Genomic DNA, 13306 nt, shown 5'->3' on the forward strand with positions numbered 1-13306 from the left:
AGTCACTGGGGCATCCTCAGAACCTGCCTTGGCCCCATTGCAGTAAGACAGGGGTCTCACTGCTCCTGGTGCAGAACCCCTCCTGGGGCCTGCCATAAGACTGCCTGGGACACAGTGGCATCATTTGACCCAGCCTGAGATCCAAGTGGCTCTCAAGAGTGGAGCTACCTGGAATGCTTTTGACAGTCATTTGCAGCTTTATTTGCAGCCTGGGCACCCACACCATTTGTAGTGCCTCGAAACAATGTAATGTGGGATTATGGGCTTTAGCTCTTAACTGTGCAGAGGGCCCAGATACCCAGAACCTTCCTAACATGCACATTTCTGAATTGCAAAGCACCTGTGCCCTCAGTGTTGCAGGCGGGAGTCGTGGACCTGGGCAGGGTACTTTTCACGTTAGGACCTGTCACTTGCACCCCCGACCCCCGCATCCCAGTATGGGCGGCTCTGCCAACAGGCTCTCTTGGCAGGGGGAGAAGACCTTCTATCTCATCAGGCCGGCCTCGGCCAACATCTCCCTGTATGAGCGCTGGCGGTCTGCCTCTAACCACAGCGAGATGTTCTTTGCTGACCAGGTCGACAAATGCTACAAGTGCATCGTCAAGCAGGGCCAGACCCTCTTCATCCCCTCAGGTGAGTGCGGGCAGCTTTGGGGACCATGTACTAGGGCTTGCCGGCCCTCATCAAGCTTACTGCCCTGTCCCTTGGACCGTGTCCCCACCATGGGGTCTCTTCGGCATCCCTGGCATGCCTGCTCCCTTGTCCTGAGCATATGAAGTGGAAAGGAGGTTGAAACTGGGCAGCTCCCTTGTCCGGAGCTTACCGCCACCCCAGCCCAGTCCCTGCAGAGGGGCCAGCAATGGGGCTTGTGTTGTCTCGTCAGCATGGGCACTCCTCACCACCGAGGCCACCTTGGAGCTGCGCAGCCAGTCACCCGCCTTCTCATCCTGGCTGGGCTCACTATGACCGAGCCCATGGCTGGAGACCCAGCTCAGAGAGCCTTGTGTGGAGACAGCAGCCATGACATCAGAGCCAGCGAGGGAGGAGGGCGCTAGCTGCTAATTAAGACAATAGTAGGGGACATTTTGAGTCTGTGCTGAAGGAGAAGGCCCGTCATGAGCCACTGTGTGCCCCTAGATGACGTTAGAACAAATCCCAGACATTCCTCTGTTTCATTAAATATTCCACTATTTCTGAAGGGCTTCCTTTCCTTCTAAGTAACATAGCTGTAATACTGTTGTCACACCTTGAAAAATGAACAATTAACAGCATTTCCCTGGTATCATCAAATAGCCAATTGGTGTTCAGATTTTTAAATCGTTTTATAGGGTTGGTTTTTTTTTTTTTTCATTTTAAATAAGTATCAAACTGAGGCCCTCATATTTTAATGATTTATAAGGCTCAGAATCTTCTGTAATCTCTGGGTCCCTCCTCCCTCCGTTGGCTTCCTCATAGTCGCAGCTATTTAGGAAAGAGTTGTGGATTTCCCAGGGTCTGGCCCAGGCTCTGTCTCCGAGGATAACCTGGGGACCAGTCCCAGCTGCGATGCAGCTGCCCCAGCCTTGTCTCCTGCTCCTGAGTGTGGTTGGGAGGCCAGGTAGCTGGACACAGACTGGGGCTTCCTCTCTCTGTCTGAGTACTGCCCCCTCAAGTGGTCTGAGTGAGTCCCCTCAGCTCTGGGCCTCGGTTTCCCTGTCTGTGCAGGGCTGGACTGACTAGTCTGTGCTGTCTCAGACACAGCCTCTCCCCCGACCCCCTTCCATGGAGGCTGGGGTTGGGCCAGAGCCAGAGAGCTTCTCCCAGGGAGGCCCCAGGCTGCTGGTGAAGCCGCAGAGGTGGACAGGGCACCAAGGTGTAGGCGGGCAGGAGCTGGAGCCTGGGCTGGGCCGGGAAAGGCCTGTGCTGGTCTCCGCCGCTCCCTGATCTAGAGCCATGAGAAGCCCGTTCATGGGAGCAAGGTGGGGCACCAGCCACTCCTGTCTCTCTCCCAGGCTGGATCTACGCCACACTCACCCCTGTGGACTGCCTGGCCTTCGCGGGACATTTCCTCCACAGCCTGAGTGTGGAGATGCAGATGAGGTAGTGCCTGCCGCGCTGTCTGCCCTCGGGCTCCGCAGAGCAGCGTCCTCCCTCTAGCTGGGTCGGTGCTAGATGCCTTGGGCTGAGTCCTGGCACAGCCCGCCTGTGGGTGGCCTGGACATGACCGTCAGCCTCGGTGGGCCTCTTTGTGATGTGGAGGGAAGGAGGAGGTGGGCCCTGGGTTCATGCAGGCCGGCTCCTCAAGGGACCTGGCTGCTGGATGGTTGTAGTTGCCCTTGGTGGGGTTGGGGTTGCTTAAAAGGCTGCTGCCTTCTCTTCTTGGGCACTGACAGAACTCTCATGGGCCCCGAGGTCTGCAGCCACCAGGGCAGTTTTCCCCTGGTCCTCCTCAGCTATGCAGGGCCCAGTGGGGAGGCCTGAGCTGGTGTGTCTGGGGCCTGGATTGATGCCCAGCGTCGCCTGCTTGATGGTCAGTGCACTGAGAACTGCTCTTTGGTGGCTTCTAGAGCATATGAAGTGGAAAGGAGGTTGAAACTGGGCAGCCTGACTCAGTTTCCCAACTTTGAAACTGCGTGCTGGTACATGGGGAAGCACCTGCTGGAGGCATTCAAAGGTACTGGTCACTCCGGGGTGGGCGTCCAAGCCTGGGGCTCTTGGCTGTGGGGGCAGCCAGACCTGGTCAGGGCTGACTGTCTGGGTGTGAGTGCCGCCTTCCTGTGGCCTGAGCAAGTCCTCTTGGGACTCAGACCCCTGGGGCTCAGTTTCCCCATCTGTATAATGCAGGACTAGATTGAACAGGCTGGGCCTCTCCTTCCGATTGGACTGTCCCTTGTTTTAGAACGAACACTGGGCTGTGGGTTGAGAGGGGTGAGTGTGCATGGCCTCAGTGCAGGTATCAATCACACCTGCTCCACCCTCCACACTTGCCTCCATTGGGAGGGTGGAGCCCTGGCTCTGTCACCAGCTGAGGAGTGGGTGCGAGTGGGCTCTGGGTCCCCTTAGGCTCCCTCAGGGGCCTGGCAACTGGACCGTGAGGCAGGCTTGTGGCTCGGTGGCCCTCTGTGGATGCACTTTGGCATCCCCGGGCCGCCCTTTTCTGTCCCAGGTCCTGCCTGGCCACACCCTCAGAGATGAGAGCAGGTGGCTCCTGCCAGCCACCACCCTGTCCAGGCCTCCAGACTGCCCAGCAGCGTGAGGGAGCCTGCAGGAGAGTTTGCATTTATGCGTGATTTCCTTTCTCGGTGTGGTTGCTCTTAGTTGCTCTTTTTTGGTTCTAATAGCAGCCAAGAGCTCTTTTATGCAGACCCTTTGTACTCTGGCCCTAGTTTGAGAAGGTAAAATGGTCCTTAGTCACGGCTGGCCAGGTTGCGGTAAGATTTTCCCACTGTTCCCCAAATCTGGAGCCCTGAGCTTGACTCTGGCAGAAGGAAGTGCCCAAGATGGGAGTCTAACCCTGCCCTCAGGGGACTGGTGCCAGGGAGGCAGGGATCAGGGCAGCACCTGGGAAGCCACCCCACAGGGCCAGCCTGACTACTGGCCAGCCAGGCCACTGTGGCCATATCCTCTCTGCCTGACCCTCCCTCTCTGAGTGGACGACAGTTCAGTTGGCCCCCAGGACTGAGAGGACCCAGGGAGCTGCCATGGTCCTGGTGCGTCAGAGCCCTGGAGCCCTGGAGCCCTCTTCAATGGGAAGAGGGAGGGGAGGCCCACAGCAGGAGCACACCTCCCAGCTGAAATGTAGTTGGTCCCTACACTGTGCTAAGGGGCGCCATGAGGTGGGAAGAGATGCTTGGGGATGCCTGGTGTGGGCCCATGGACAGCCTGTGGCCTGGGTCCTGGCATGACTGTGTCCCCTTGCTCAGGTAGGGCTGGGGTATTGGGCAGAGTGAGGAGAGCAAGGCAGCCTGTGTTAGGGGCCTGGAGGGTGAGACAGTGGGAGGATGGTGGGAGGGCCAATCTTTCCTCAAGCAGGGCAGGCCACCAGGAGGATGGGCGCCCCCAGGTTCCAAGAGGAACTGTTGGCAGTTGAGCTGGTGGCCATGGGCGGAGGGAGACCTCTGGAAGGCTGGACCTGGCATCCCCCGGTCTGGCTATGTGGCTGGGCATGAAGGCACCTGTGGGCAGCAGGCACCCACCCACCTCACCCAGTGTCTCCTTCCCAGGCTCTCACAAATCTGGGAAGCAGCTGCCCCCTCATCTAGTCCAAGGAGCTAAAATTCTCAATGGTGCTTTCCGATCGTGGACGAAGAAGCAGGTAGGAATCATGTCACAAATGCCCTAGGGCAGGAGAGCAGTGACAGGCGGGAGGACCTCCCTGGAGACCCAGCAGCAATGTCCAGGACTTGTCCTGCTTCAGTGAGATCCAGCCTGGGAAGGACGGTGGTGCTCCCCTGCCTGGCTTGGCCCGGGGTGTGCCTTTGCCCCAGACACCCCATGGGTCCGTCCCCTGCTGTCCACTGATTGGGCCACCTGAGGGCTGGGGGAGGACAGATGTAGATGCAGAGCCCCCTCCATCAGGGGCTCACAGCTTAGTCACAAGTTGGTGGGAGGAGGGTGACCAGGTGCTGGTGTGTCCTGGGAGGAAGGTGGGTCTGTGGGTGGGGGACAGATGGCCTATGGTGGGATGACACTGTGTGAGCACAGAAAGGCCTGGAACCTGGTGGGGGCAGGGAAGGACTGGGGGAGTGGCTGGCCCCAGGACAGGGAGTGCTGGGGACACCCTGTCGGCTCCTCCTGGCTGGCCCTGGCATCAGCTCAGAAGCTAAGCTGCCTGATTGCAGGTGCAGCACCCCAGCCACCTTGCTCTGTGACCCGGGCAGCCCCTCCCTGTGACTCTTACCGATGACCATCCTGTGCGCGCCCCCACAGAAGCCACTTACTGTGTTGCTTAGCATCTTCCCTTGGTTTTGGCTACAGAAGGGAGGGGAAGGTCTGGCCCAGCCTCGAGCACCCTCTGGGACAGTGTTTCCTACTGGGCTCATTGTGCAGAGGTACTATGCCCACTCTTGAGGGAGGAGGACCCTCTCCCAGGCCAGAGAAGGCCAGTGGAGATTTACAGGAAGCCTTCAGGGAATACAGGCTGCAGGGAATACCATGTGTAGCCTGCCTTTCTCATGGGTGGGCCAGGCAGGAGAGGCAGCCAGTGCACTCCCAGGGCCATCCTGCAGCCACCACCTCCGTCAGGCCTCAAGGCCCAGGGCAGTCCAGGGCGCCCCTGCCACCTCACCTTAGCCATGTGGCTGGGTGGAGTGGCCTCTGACCAGGAAGAAGGGATGGGACCCTTGTCCATTCCATAGCCTGCTGGTGGTGGCCTCAGGCAAGCTTGTCCTCTCTGGTACTTGGTTTGTCCACCTATTGATGGGGGCTCACAGCAGAGACCTCTTGCCAGGGCAGAGTTTGGCTCGGAAGCCCCTCGCCTCATGCTCATCTGAGTGGCTCGGCAGTCAGGCGACAGCCTGCAAGAATGCAGGGGTAAGTCAGGACCACGGGAGGTGTCTGGTGCTGACCCTGGGTCCGGTTGTCCTGCAGGCTTTGGCAGAGCATGAGGACGAGCTCCCGGAGCACTTCAAACCTTCACAGCTAATCAAAGACCTGGCCAAAGAGATCCGGCTCAGTGAGGTGGGGCCGTGTCCAGGTGCTGGGCTGGACCCCTGGGGATTGGGGAGGGCCCACCTGTCTTTCTCTGGGTCCAGGGGCCAGCCTAACACAGAGCTGCCAGGTCTGGGAAGGCCAGTGCCCCAGATGGTCCTCCTTGCACTTTCCTGGGCAAGCTTGCCTTTGTGAGGGCTCAGGGTCCTAGGTCTCTGGCTGGGTCTGTGTCCTGGTGTGAGTGTGTAGGGACTGAGAAATGGCACCAGCCTCTCTGAAACTCCCATGGGGAGGGCACTCTGTGGGAGGAGCCCCTGACTCAGCCCCTGCAGTCCCAGCTTGTGTGTTCCTGGATGAGCCCTCAGCCGCTGTGCTGGGGTAGGACAGAAGAGCCTTGGGGAGAGCAAGTGACTCATGGCATGTCGCAGGTGTGAGTGTGTCACACAATAGCATGGGTTGGGTGTGAGTGTGTCACATGATGGTGTGGGGTAGCTGAGCCTTTCTGGGCTGATAGTTCCCCGCCAGCCTGGCACTGAGTGTCTCCAGCATCCTGGTGTGTGGACCGTCTTGGGCCACAGTTTGGCAGAAGCAGCATGTGACCCTCTCCTTTCTGTATCCCAGAATGCCTCCAAAGCCGTCCGACCGGAAGTGAATACTGTCGCCTCGTCAGATGAGGTGTGTGACGGGGACCGGGAGAAGGAGGAGCCCCCGTCTCCCATTGAGGCCACCCCGCCTCAATCCCTCCTGGAGAAAGTGTCCAAAAAAAAGACTCCCAAAACTGTGAAGATGCCCAAGCCATCCAAAATCCCCAAGCCCCCGAAGCCCCCTAAGCCCCCAAGGCCCCCCAAAACGCTGAAGCTCAAAGATGGAGGCAAGAAGAAAGGGAAGAAGTCCCGGGAGTCAGCCTCACCCACCATCCCCAACCTGGACCTGCTCGAAGCCCACACCAAGGAGGCACTGACCAAGATGGAGCCGCCCAAGAAGGGCAAGGTGGGACCCCCTCACCCTGACTCCCCACCTTATCACCAGAGGTGCTGCAGCATCTCTTGTGGGCCAGTCCCATGGAGATAGCTAGGGCCCATTGTCCTTGTTCCCCAGGGGCCCCTGAGAAGATGTGGGGGTCTGGGCTCTTGCTGTGGGCTTGTATGCCCAGAAGATGCACTTCCTTGCCTGGTCCTGACCCAGTCCTGCAGCATCCAGGCCCAGACCCCCCAGAGTGGACAGGCTTTGCCCAACAAGCCACAGAGCAGTGGGCCTGAAGAGGGTCCCTCACTGAGGAAGGCAACACAATGTGTGTGTGCTGTGGCAGAGGTGGCACCCAAGAGGGCCACCTGGTGGAGGAGGCATGGTGGTTTTCCAGAAGGGGATGTCTAGTTTAGGTTTCCTAGCCAGATGAGCAGTTGCCAGGGGACAAAGAAGCCCTGGGTCCTCCCTGGGGCCAAGACATTGAGGTTGAAACCTGAAGGTAGATGAGGTGTCTGTGCAGAAACAACAGGGAGAATGCCATTGGAGGGGAGGGGGTTCAGGGGTGAGGACAAGAGCAGGGTGGCCCTGATAGTCTGAGCCCCTGTGGACAGTGAAGAGATGGGCCCAGCCCTGAAGACCCACTCTGACTAGAGGATCTTAGGTCTGGGCTTCAGGGACCATGAACCCCTGAAGCACCATTGAGTGTGAGTTTCTGCCAGGAGGAGGTCGTTATCTGCTTCCTGGGGGCCAGGAAACTTCAGGGCCGGCATCACAGGGGTGTAGTGGGACGCTTTTGTGTTCTCTTTCTCAGGGCAAGCATGAATGAATGCATGAGCAAATGAATGGATGGCTAAATGGCTGGATGAATGGGTGAATGAATGAATAGGTGGATGAATGGATGGATGAATGGATGAACAGACGGATGGATGAATGAATGAATCAGTGAATGGCTGGATAGATGGATGGTTGAATGGATTAACGAATGGATGAATAGATGAATGAATAGATGGCTACATGAACGAATTGATGGATGGGTGGATGGATGGATGAATAAATGGATGGATGGGTGAATGGGTGGATGGATGGATGGAAGGACGAATAAATGAATGGGTGGGTAGATGAATGGAATAATGAATGAATGGGTAGATGAATGGATGAATGGATGGATGGATGGAATAATGAAGGGATGGATGGATGAGTGGGTAGATGGATGGATGAGTGCATAAGATGGATGGGTAGATGGATAGATGAATGGATGCATGGGTGGATAGATGAAAGAATGGTTGGATGGTTGGGTGGATGGATGGATTGATGAATAAATGGATGGATGGATGAGCAAATGGATGGATGGATGGAATGGATGGGTAGATGGATAGATGAATGAAAAAATGGATGGATGGATGAATAAATGGATAGATGAATGGATGGAAAGGTGGATGAACAAACAAATGGATGGGTGGATAAATGAATGGATGGATGGGTAGATGATGAATGAATCAACAAATGGTGAGTGGATGGATGAGTGGATGGATGGTTGGGTGGATGAATGGATGGATGAACAAATGGGTGGGTGGATGAATAAATGGATGAATGAATGGATGGATGGATGGATGGATAGACAGAGGAATGAATAGATGGATGGATGAATGAATGGGTGAGCAGATACATGGATGGATAGATGAACAAATGGATGGGTGGATAGGTGGGTGAATGGACTGATCGATGGATAAATGAATGGATGGGTAGATGGATGAATGGGTGGATGATTGAGTGAGTGGATGGGTGGATGAATTAATGAATGAACAAATGGATGGATGGATGAATGGATGAGTGGATGGGGAGATGGATAAATGGATGAGTGGATGGATGGATGGAAGGATAGATGAAAAAATGGATGGATGGATAAATGGATGGGTAGATGGATAAATAAATGGATGAGTGGATGGATGAATGGGTGGGTGGATGAATGGGATGAACGAATGGATGGATGGGTGGGCGGATGGATGGATGGATGGATGGATGGATGGATGGATGGATGAACAAATGCATGGTGCATGGATGGATGAATGAACGAATGGGTGAGTGGATGGATGGATTGGTGGATGAATGAACGGGATGAATGAATGGATGAATGGGTTGGCAGATGAATGAACGGATGGATGGATGAACGAATGAATGAATAAATGGATGGATGGATGGGTGGGTGAATGGGTACATCGATGGGTGGGTGAATGGATGCGTGGATGGGTAGATGGATGGAGGCTTGAGCTGCAAGCACATGGGCCAGAAGAAGACAGGGAATCTGTGGCTCAAGAGAGTTCCACCAGCCCTCTATGTCTGCCTCTGGGTCACAGCAGCCCTTTTTTCTAGGCCACAAAGAGTGTCCTGAGTGTGCCCAACAAAGATGTGGTTCACATGCAGAATGATGTGGAGAGGCTGGAAATTCGAGAGCAAACCAAGAGCAAGTCAGAGGCCAAGTGGAAGTACAAGGTGAGAAGTGCACATATGCATGCACACGTGTGTGTGTCAGCTTGGTGAGTGTGAGCAGAGGTGAATCTGTGAGGCCCTGTGTGTGTGAAGGAATGTGCAGACATGTGTCTGCTTGTCCTGAGTAGGTAGTGCTGTGGGGTGTGCTTACGTGGGTCTGAGGTGTGTGTGACCACCCATGGACTACATCTTCCTCTGAGTTGGTTGGGATGCAAGAGGTTGAATGTACACCCTGTATGTTGACAGTGTTTCCCTTCACGGTCCACACACTGGTTTTCATTCCCACTCCATGGGGGTCAGGCAACATCGAGGCACTGAGTCCATGGGGTGCAGGCCCCTGAGCACCCCGCAGTGGCCCGGGTGGCCACCAGAGCTATGGGTGACTTTCCTTAGTCGTGTTCCCAGTAGCTGCCTCTTCTCACTGACACTAATTGGGGTCCTGACCCCCCACTTCTGTGTGGGGCTCAGGGACGGCCCTGGTCTTGCTTTTCAGAACAGCAAACCTGACTCCTTACTGAAGATGGAAGAGGAGCAGAAGCTAGAGAAGTCGCCTCTAGCTGGAAACAAAGACAATAAGTTCTCTTTTTCTTTCTCCAACAAGAAACTCCTCGGGTATGTGAGTGCCTGGATGGGAGGGGTGACCTCGCGCATAACCGACATCACACACACCATACATACTGCATCACACCCACTGCCTTATACCACACACACATTACACACACACTATGCATGCACTCTGCATCTCACACACACCACACACTGCATCACACACAACCATACACACTGCACATCACGTACCCCATAAACACACAGCCTTTGGCTGACACACCTCTGGGGACTCCTCTCCCTCTGAGCTGCTGACCTCACTGATTGCAGCCCTGTTCCTGGCACGTCTTCATCAGGCCTAGACACCAGCAGAGCCACATCCCTGCCTCCCACCACGCTCCACCTGTAGTGTGGGTGTGAGGAAGCAGACATGCCTGGGTGGGACTGGGCTGGAAGATACAGCCAGCCTGCAATGAGGGATGGCCCCCCAGGTAGGGAGGGAGGCCGTGGGACTCCATGAGTGTTAGATGTTTGGCTCTTGTGAGCTGGTGCTGAGGACGTGCATGGGGGACAGGGTCCTGGCTCTCAGAGCCCGGTGGCCAGTGGGGAGGGCCTGGTGTGAACCCAACATGGGACCCTGGGTGCTGAGAACGTGACCCACCTGGGAGTCAGGAGGGCCTCCTGGAGACGGCACTGAGCAGAGATTAGGGGGTGTGTTTGGGTGGTGTGGGCATGCTGGATGAGCCTCGGGGTGAGGCAAGGGGTGCGGAGGGCTGTGAGCCCGGTGGCAACCTCGAGAGCCTCATGGTTCCAGCGGCAACACTTGGGCCTGTGTGTGCTCCCGGTGCGTGGGACATGTCACCTGCTGAGGCCCCAGGCCTGGCCGGAGTCAGACAGGTCCCAGCAGGAGGGGCGGCCACTTTTCTGCAGCAGCCACTGACTAACTTGGCCAGGTTGTAGTTTCCTCATTGAAGAGATGAGAGGAGAAGGCCTCTTTCTGGGTGGTGGAGAAAGGGAGCAGTGCCCAGGCAGAGTCTTGTGAGTGTCAGGGAGCTCAGGGCAACACGCGAGGCCATTCAGCCAAGGGGCAGGTCTGCGGGGTCCTGTGGCTGCCCAGCTTCATGGCCCTGGGCGTGTCACTTGCTTTATCTGAAGCTCTGCTTCTAGGTTCCTGGGAAGCTATTAAACGGCATTCACTCTGTGACGGTGCTAGGGAGTTGACGATAGAGATGAGAAAGAGCGGTGTGACTCTAGCCTGTGGACACGTGTGTTCTGCGGCCCAGCCCGTAAGGCAGCGGGCTCGCCGCCCCTTCACTTAGAGCATTGGAAGCCGCCTCACCTAGGCACTGTATCCAGGTGTCTGCACTTCCATTTGCTCAGAATTGGAGCTGTGTCTGTTTGAAGTTCCAGACTTTTCTGCCTCAGCCTGTTGTCCCTGCTACTATATAGAGAGAAACCTGTCCTCAAACCCCTGGGAAGGCAAAGGCTGGAGCTGCTTGCAGGCCAAGCTCTGAAGTAGTCCTCCTTCACCCAGGCAGGGAGACAAATTACACACTGTTTCTTAGACTGTTACATCTATCCTGTAGCCCTGGCCCTGAGTTTATTTTTCCAACATAGCTATGGAGAAAAAAACCAGGAAACTTGGGTCCTTTTCCGGTTAAAGACCAATTCAGCATGTGCCAGGATTCCTAGGCAGGCCCGAGGCGGGGCTTAAGCTTGTCCAGTGGCCCTGGGACAGTTGGGGGTCACTGTCTTGAGCATCTAAACTGCCTGGGGAAGGGCTCTCTCTGCCTGAATGTGGTGTGTGGGGAGGCACAGCATTGTGTAGGAGGCCATGGGGTTGGGGAGTGTCCCCTCCTGTGGGCAGATAGCTTCCCACAGTGGGGACTGAAGGCCCAGCCTGGCCTCCTGTCTGCAGAGGCTTGGGCCCTCTACCCTCCTCCCATCTCAACTGGGCCTGAGGCTTCTTCGGATGGAAATTCAAATAGTGGCAACGTCACCTGCCTCCTGGAGGCCATCCTGCCGCGGCCCTGGCAGAGGACCCCTCGGGAGGTCCTACCTGTCCGCTGGCTGTGGGGCTATGTGGATGCTGCTGACCCACTCGCTTCTGCCCTAGCTCCAAGGCTCTCAGGCCCCCGACGAGCCCTGGTGTGTTCGGGGCCTTGCAGAACTTCAAGGAGGACAAGCCCAAGCCCGTGCGGGATGAGTATGAGTACGTGTCGGATGACGGTGAGCTCAAGATCGACGAGTTTCCCATCAGGAGGAAGAAAAACGCCCCGAAAAGGGACTTGTCCTGTGAGTTGGGAGGGGGTGTTGGGGGAGGGGTGTGGGAGAGGCCCATCCTGCCCCGGAGAGGTCTTCCCAGGGTGGCTGGCTCCCCGCAAGGCCTCCCGCTGGACTGCCATCTGCTGTGCTTTCAGTCTTGTTGGATAAGAAGGCTGTGCTGCCCACGCCTGTCACGAAGCCAAAGCTGGACTCGGCAGCGTACAAGGTGAGCTGCCTTACAGGCCCCCCTCAGTCTCGGGGGGCATCTCTGGGCAGTCCCCAAGGCCATGGTTTGAGTGACTCCAGGGCGGTCTCTGGGGGTGTTTCTGCATGAGATGGCAAAGGGGCCCCTTACCCTCACCCCACCCTTTCATGAGTGTTCTAAGGTCACATCCAACTCTAAGACACAGTGGTCATCTCTGCCTGGGCGTGCGAGGGGTGTGTCCCCACTGAGCCTCCTGCCGGGGGAGGTTATTGGGATCTAGTGTATTAACTGCTTTCCTCCAGCCTGAGGTCCCTCTGGGGCTGCAGGCCCTGCCCCCGCCTCTCCTTCCAACCATGGCGGTGTCTCTTTACATGTGTTACACACTGGGGCTGTCTTGTGTAAGGGTTCCTTTGAACCAGAGTTCCTCTGTGAACATGGTGCACAGTGTGAAGACAGTTTGGTCCTTTGTGGTTCTGAGAGAGCTTTGGCACCCACGTCTGCCCTGTGTGTCCGTGTGTTGGCCATCCAGCCCGTCGGCTCCAGGGGCCTCTGTCTGACCCCAGCAATGTTCATTAGAAGGGCAGCGGCTCTTTAAAAATGTTAAAAAACTGGCTGGGCGCAGAGCTCACACCTGTAATCCCAGCACTTTGGGTGGCTGAGGTGGGTGGATCACAAGGTCAGGAGATTGAGACCATCCTGGCTAACATGGTGAAACCCCATCTCTACTAAAAATACAAAAAATTAGCCGAGCGAGTGAGCCTGTAGTCCCAGCTACTTGGGAGGCTGAGGCAGGAGAATGGTGTGAACCCAGGAGGCGGAGCTTGCAGTGAGCCAAGATCGCACCACTGCACTCCAGCCTGGGCGACAGAGCGAGACTCCATCTCAAAACTAAATAAATAAATAAAAATAAAAATAAAATAAATAAAAATGTTAAAAAACTAGTTTAGTCCCTGAAGGGAAAAAGTATCCTCCTCCCAACTCCCAGGCCACTTTGGTGGCCAGACCCTCCCCTGACCGAAGCCCTGTCCCTCGCGCAGCAGAGTGATGACTCCTCGGACGAGGGTTCGCTGCACATCGACACAGACACCAAGCCCGGCCGCAATGCCAGAGTCAAGAAGGAGAGTGGGAGCTCGGCAGCTGGCATCTTGGACCTGCTGCAGGCCAGTGAGGAGGTTGGCGCGCTGGAGTACAACCCCAGCAGGTGGGCCC

General features: G+C 56.4%; 1 protein-coding gene across 5 annotated transcripts in view; it reads left to right on the plus strand.

Annotated features, from left to right (window-relative positions):
• The window catches only part of PHF2 (PHD finger protein 2), a 103004-nt gene that overhangs the window by 77359 nt on the left and 12339 nt on the right, over nt 1-13306 (plus strand). For 2 of the 5 annotated variants that reach the window (XM_005252051.3, XM_047423474.1), the window contains exons 7-17: nt 471-633; nt 1992-2079; nt 2547-2653; nt 4203-4294; nt 5569-5658; nt 6250-6618; nt 8965-9084; nt 9575-9693; nt 11744-11922; nt 12048-12118; nt 13135-13298. In XM_005252051.3, the coding sequence (XP_005252108.1) occupies nt 471-633; nt 1992-2079; nt 2547-2653; nt 4203-4294; nt 5569-5658; nt 6250-6618; nt 8965-9084; nt 9575-9693; nt 11744-11922; nt 12048-12118; nt 13135-13298 (1562 nt within the window). The remainder of the gene's footprint in view (nt 1-470; nt 634-1991; nt 2080-2546; nt 2654-4202; nt 4295-5568; nt 5659-6249; nt 6619-8964; nt 9085-9574; nt 9694-11743; nt 11923-12047; nt 12119-13134; nt 13299-13306) is intronic. The other 3 variants (NM_005392.4, XM_006717143.3, XM_047423475.1) reach the window with 3 other exon arrangements.

The sequence above is a fragment of the Homo sapiens genome, chromosome 9 (genome assembly GCF_000001405.40).
Source record: "Homo sapiens chromosome 9, GRCh38.p14 Primary Assembly".
Lineage (NCBI taxonomy): Eukaryota > Metazoa > Chordata > Mammalia > Primates > Hominidae > Homo > Homo sapiens.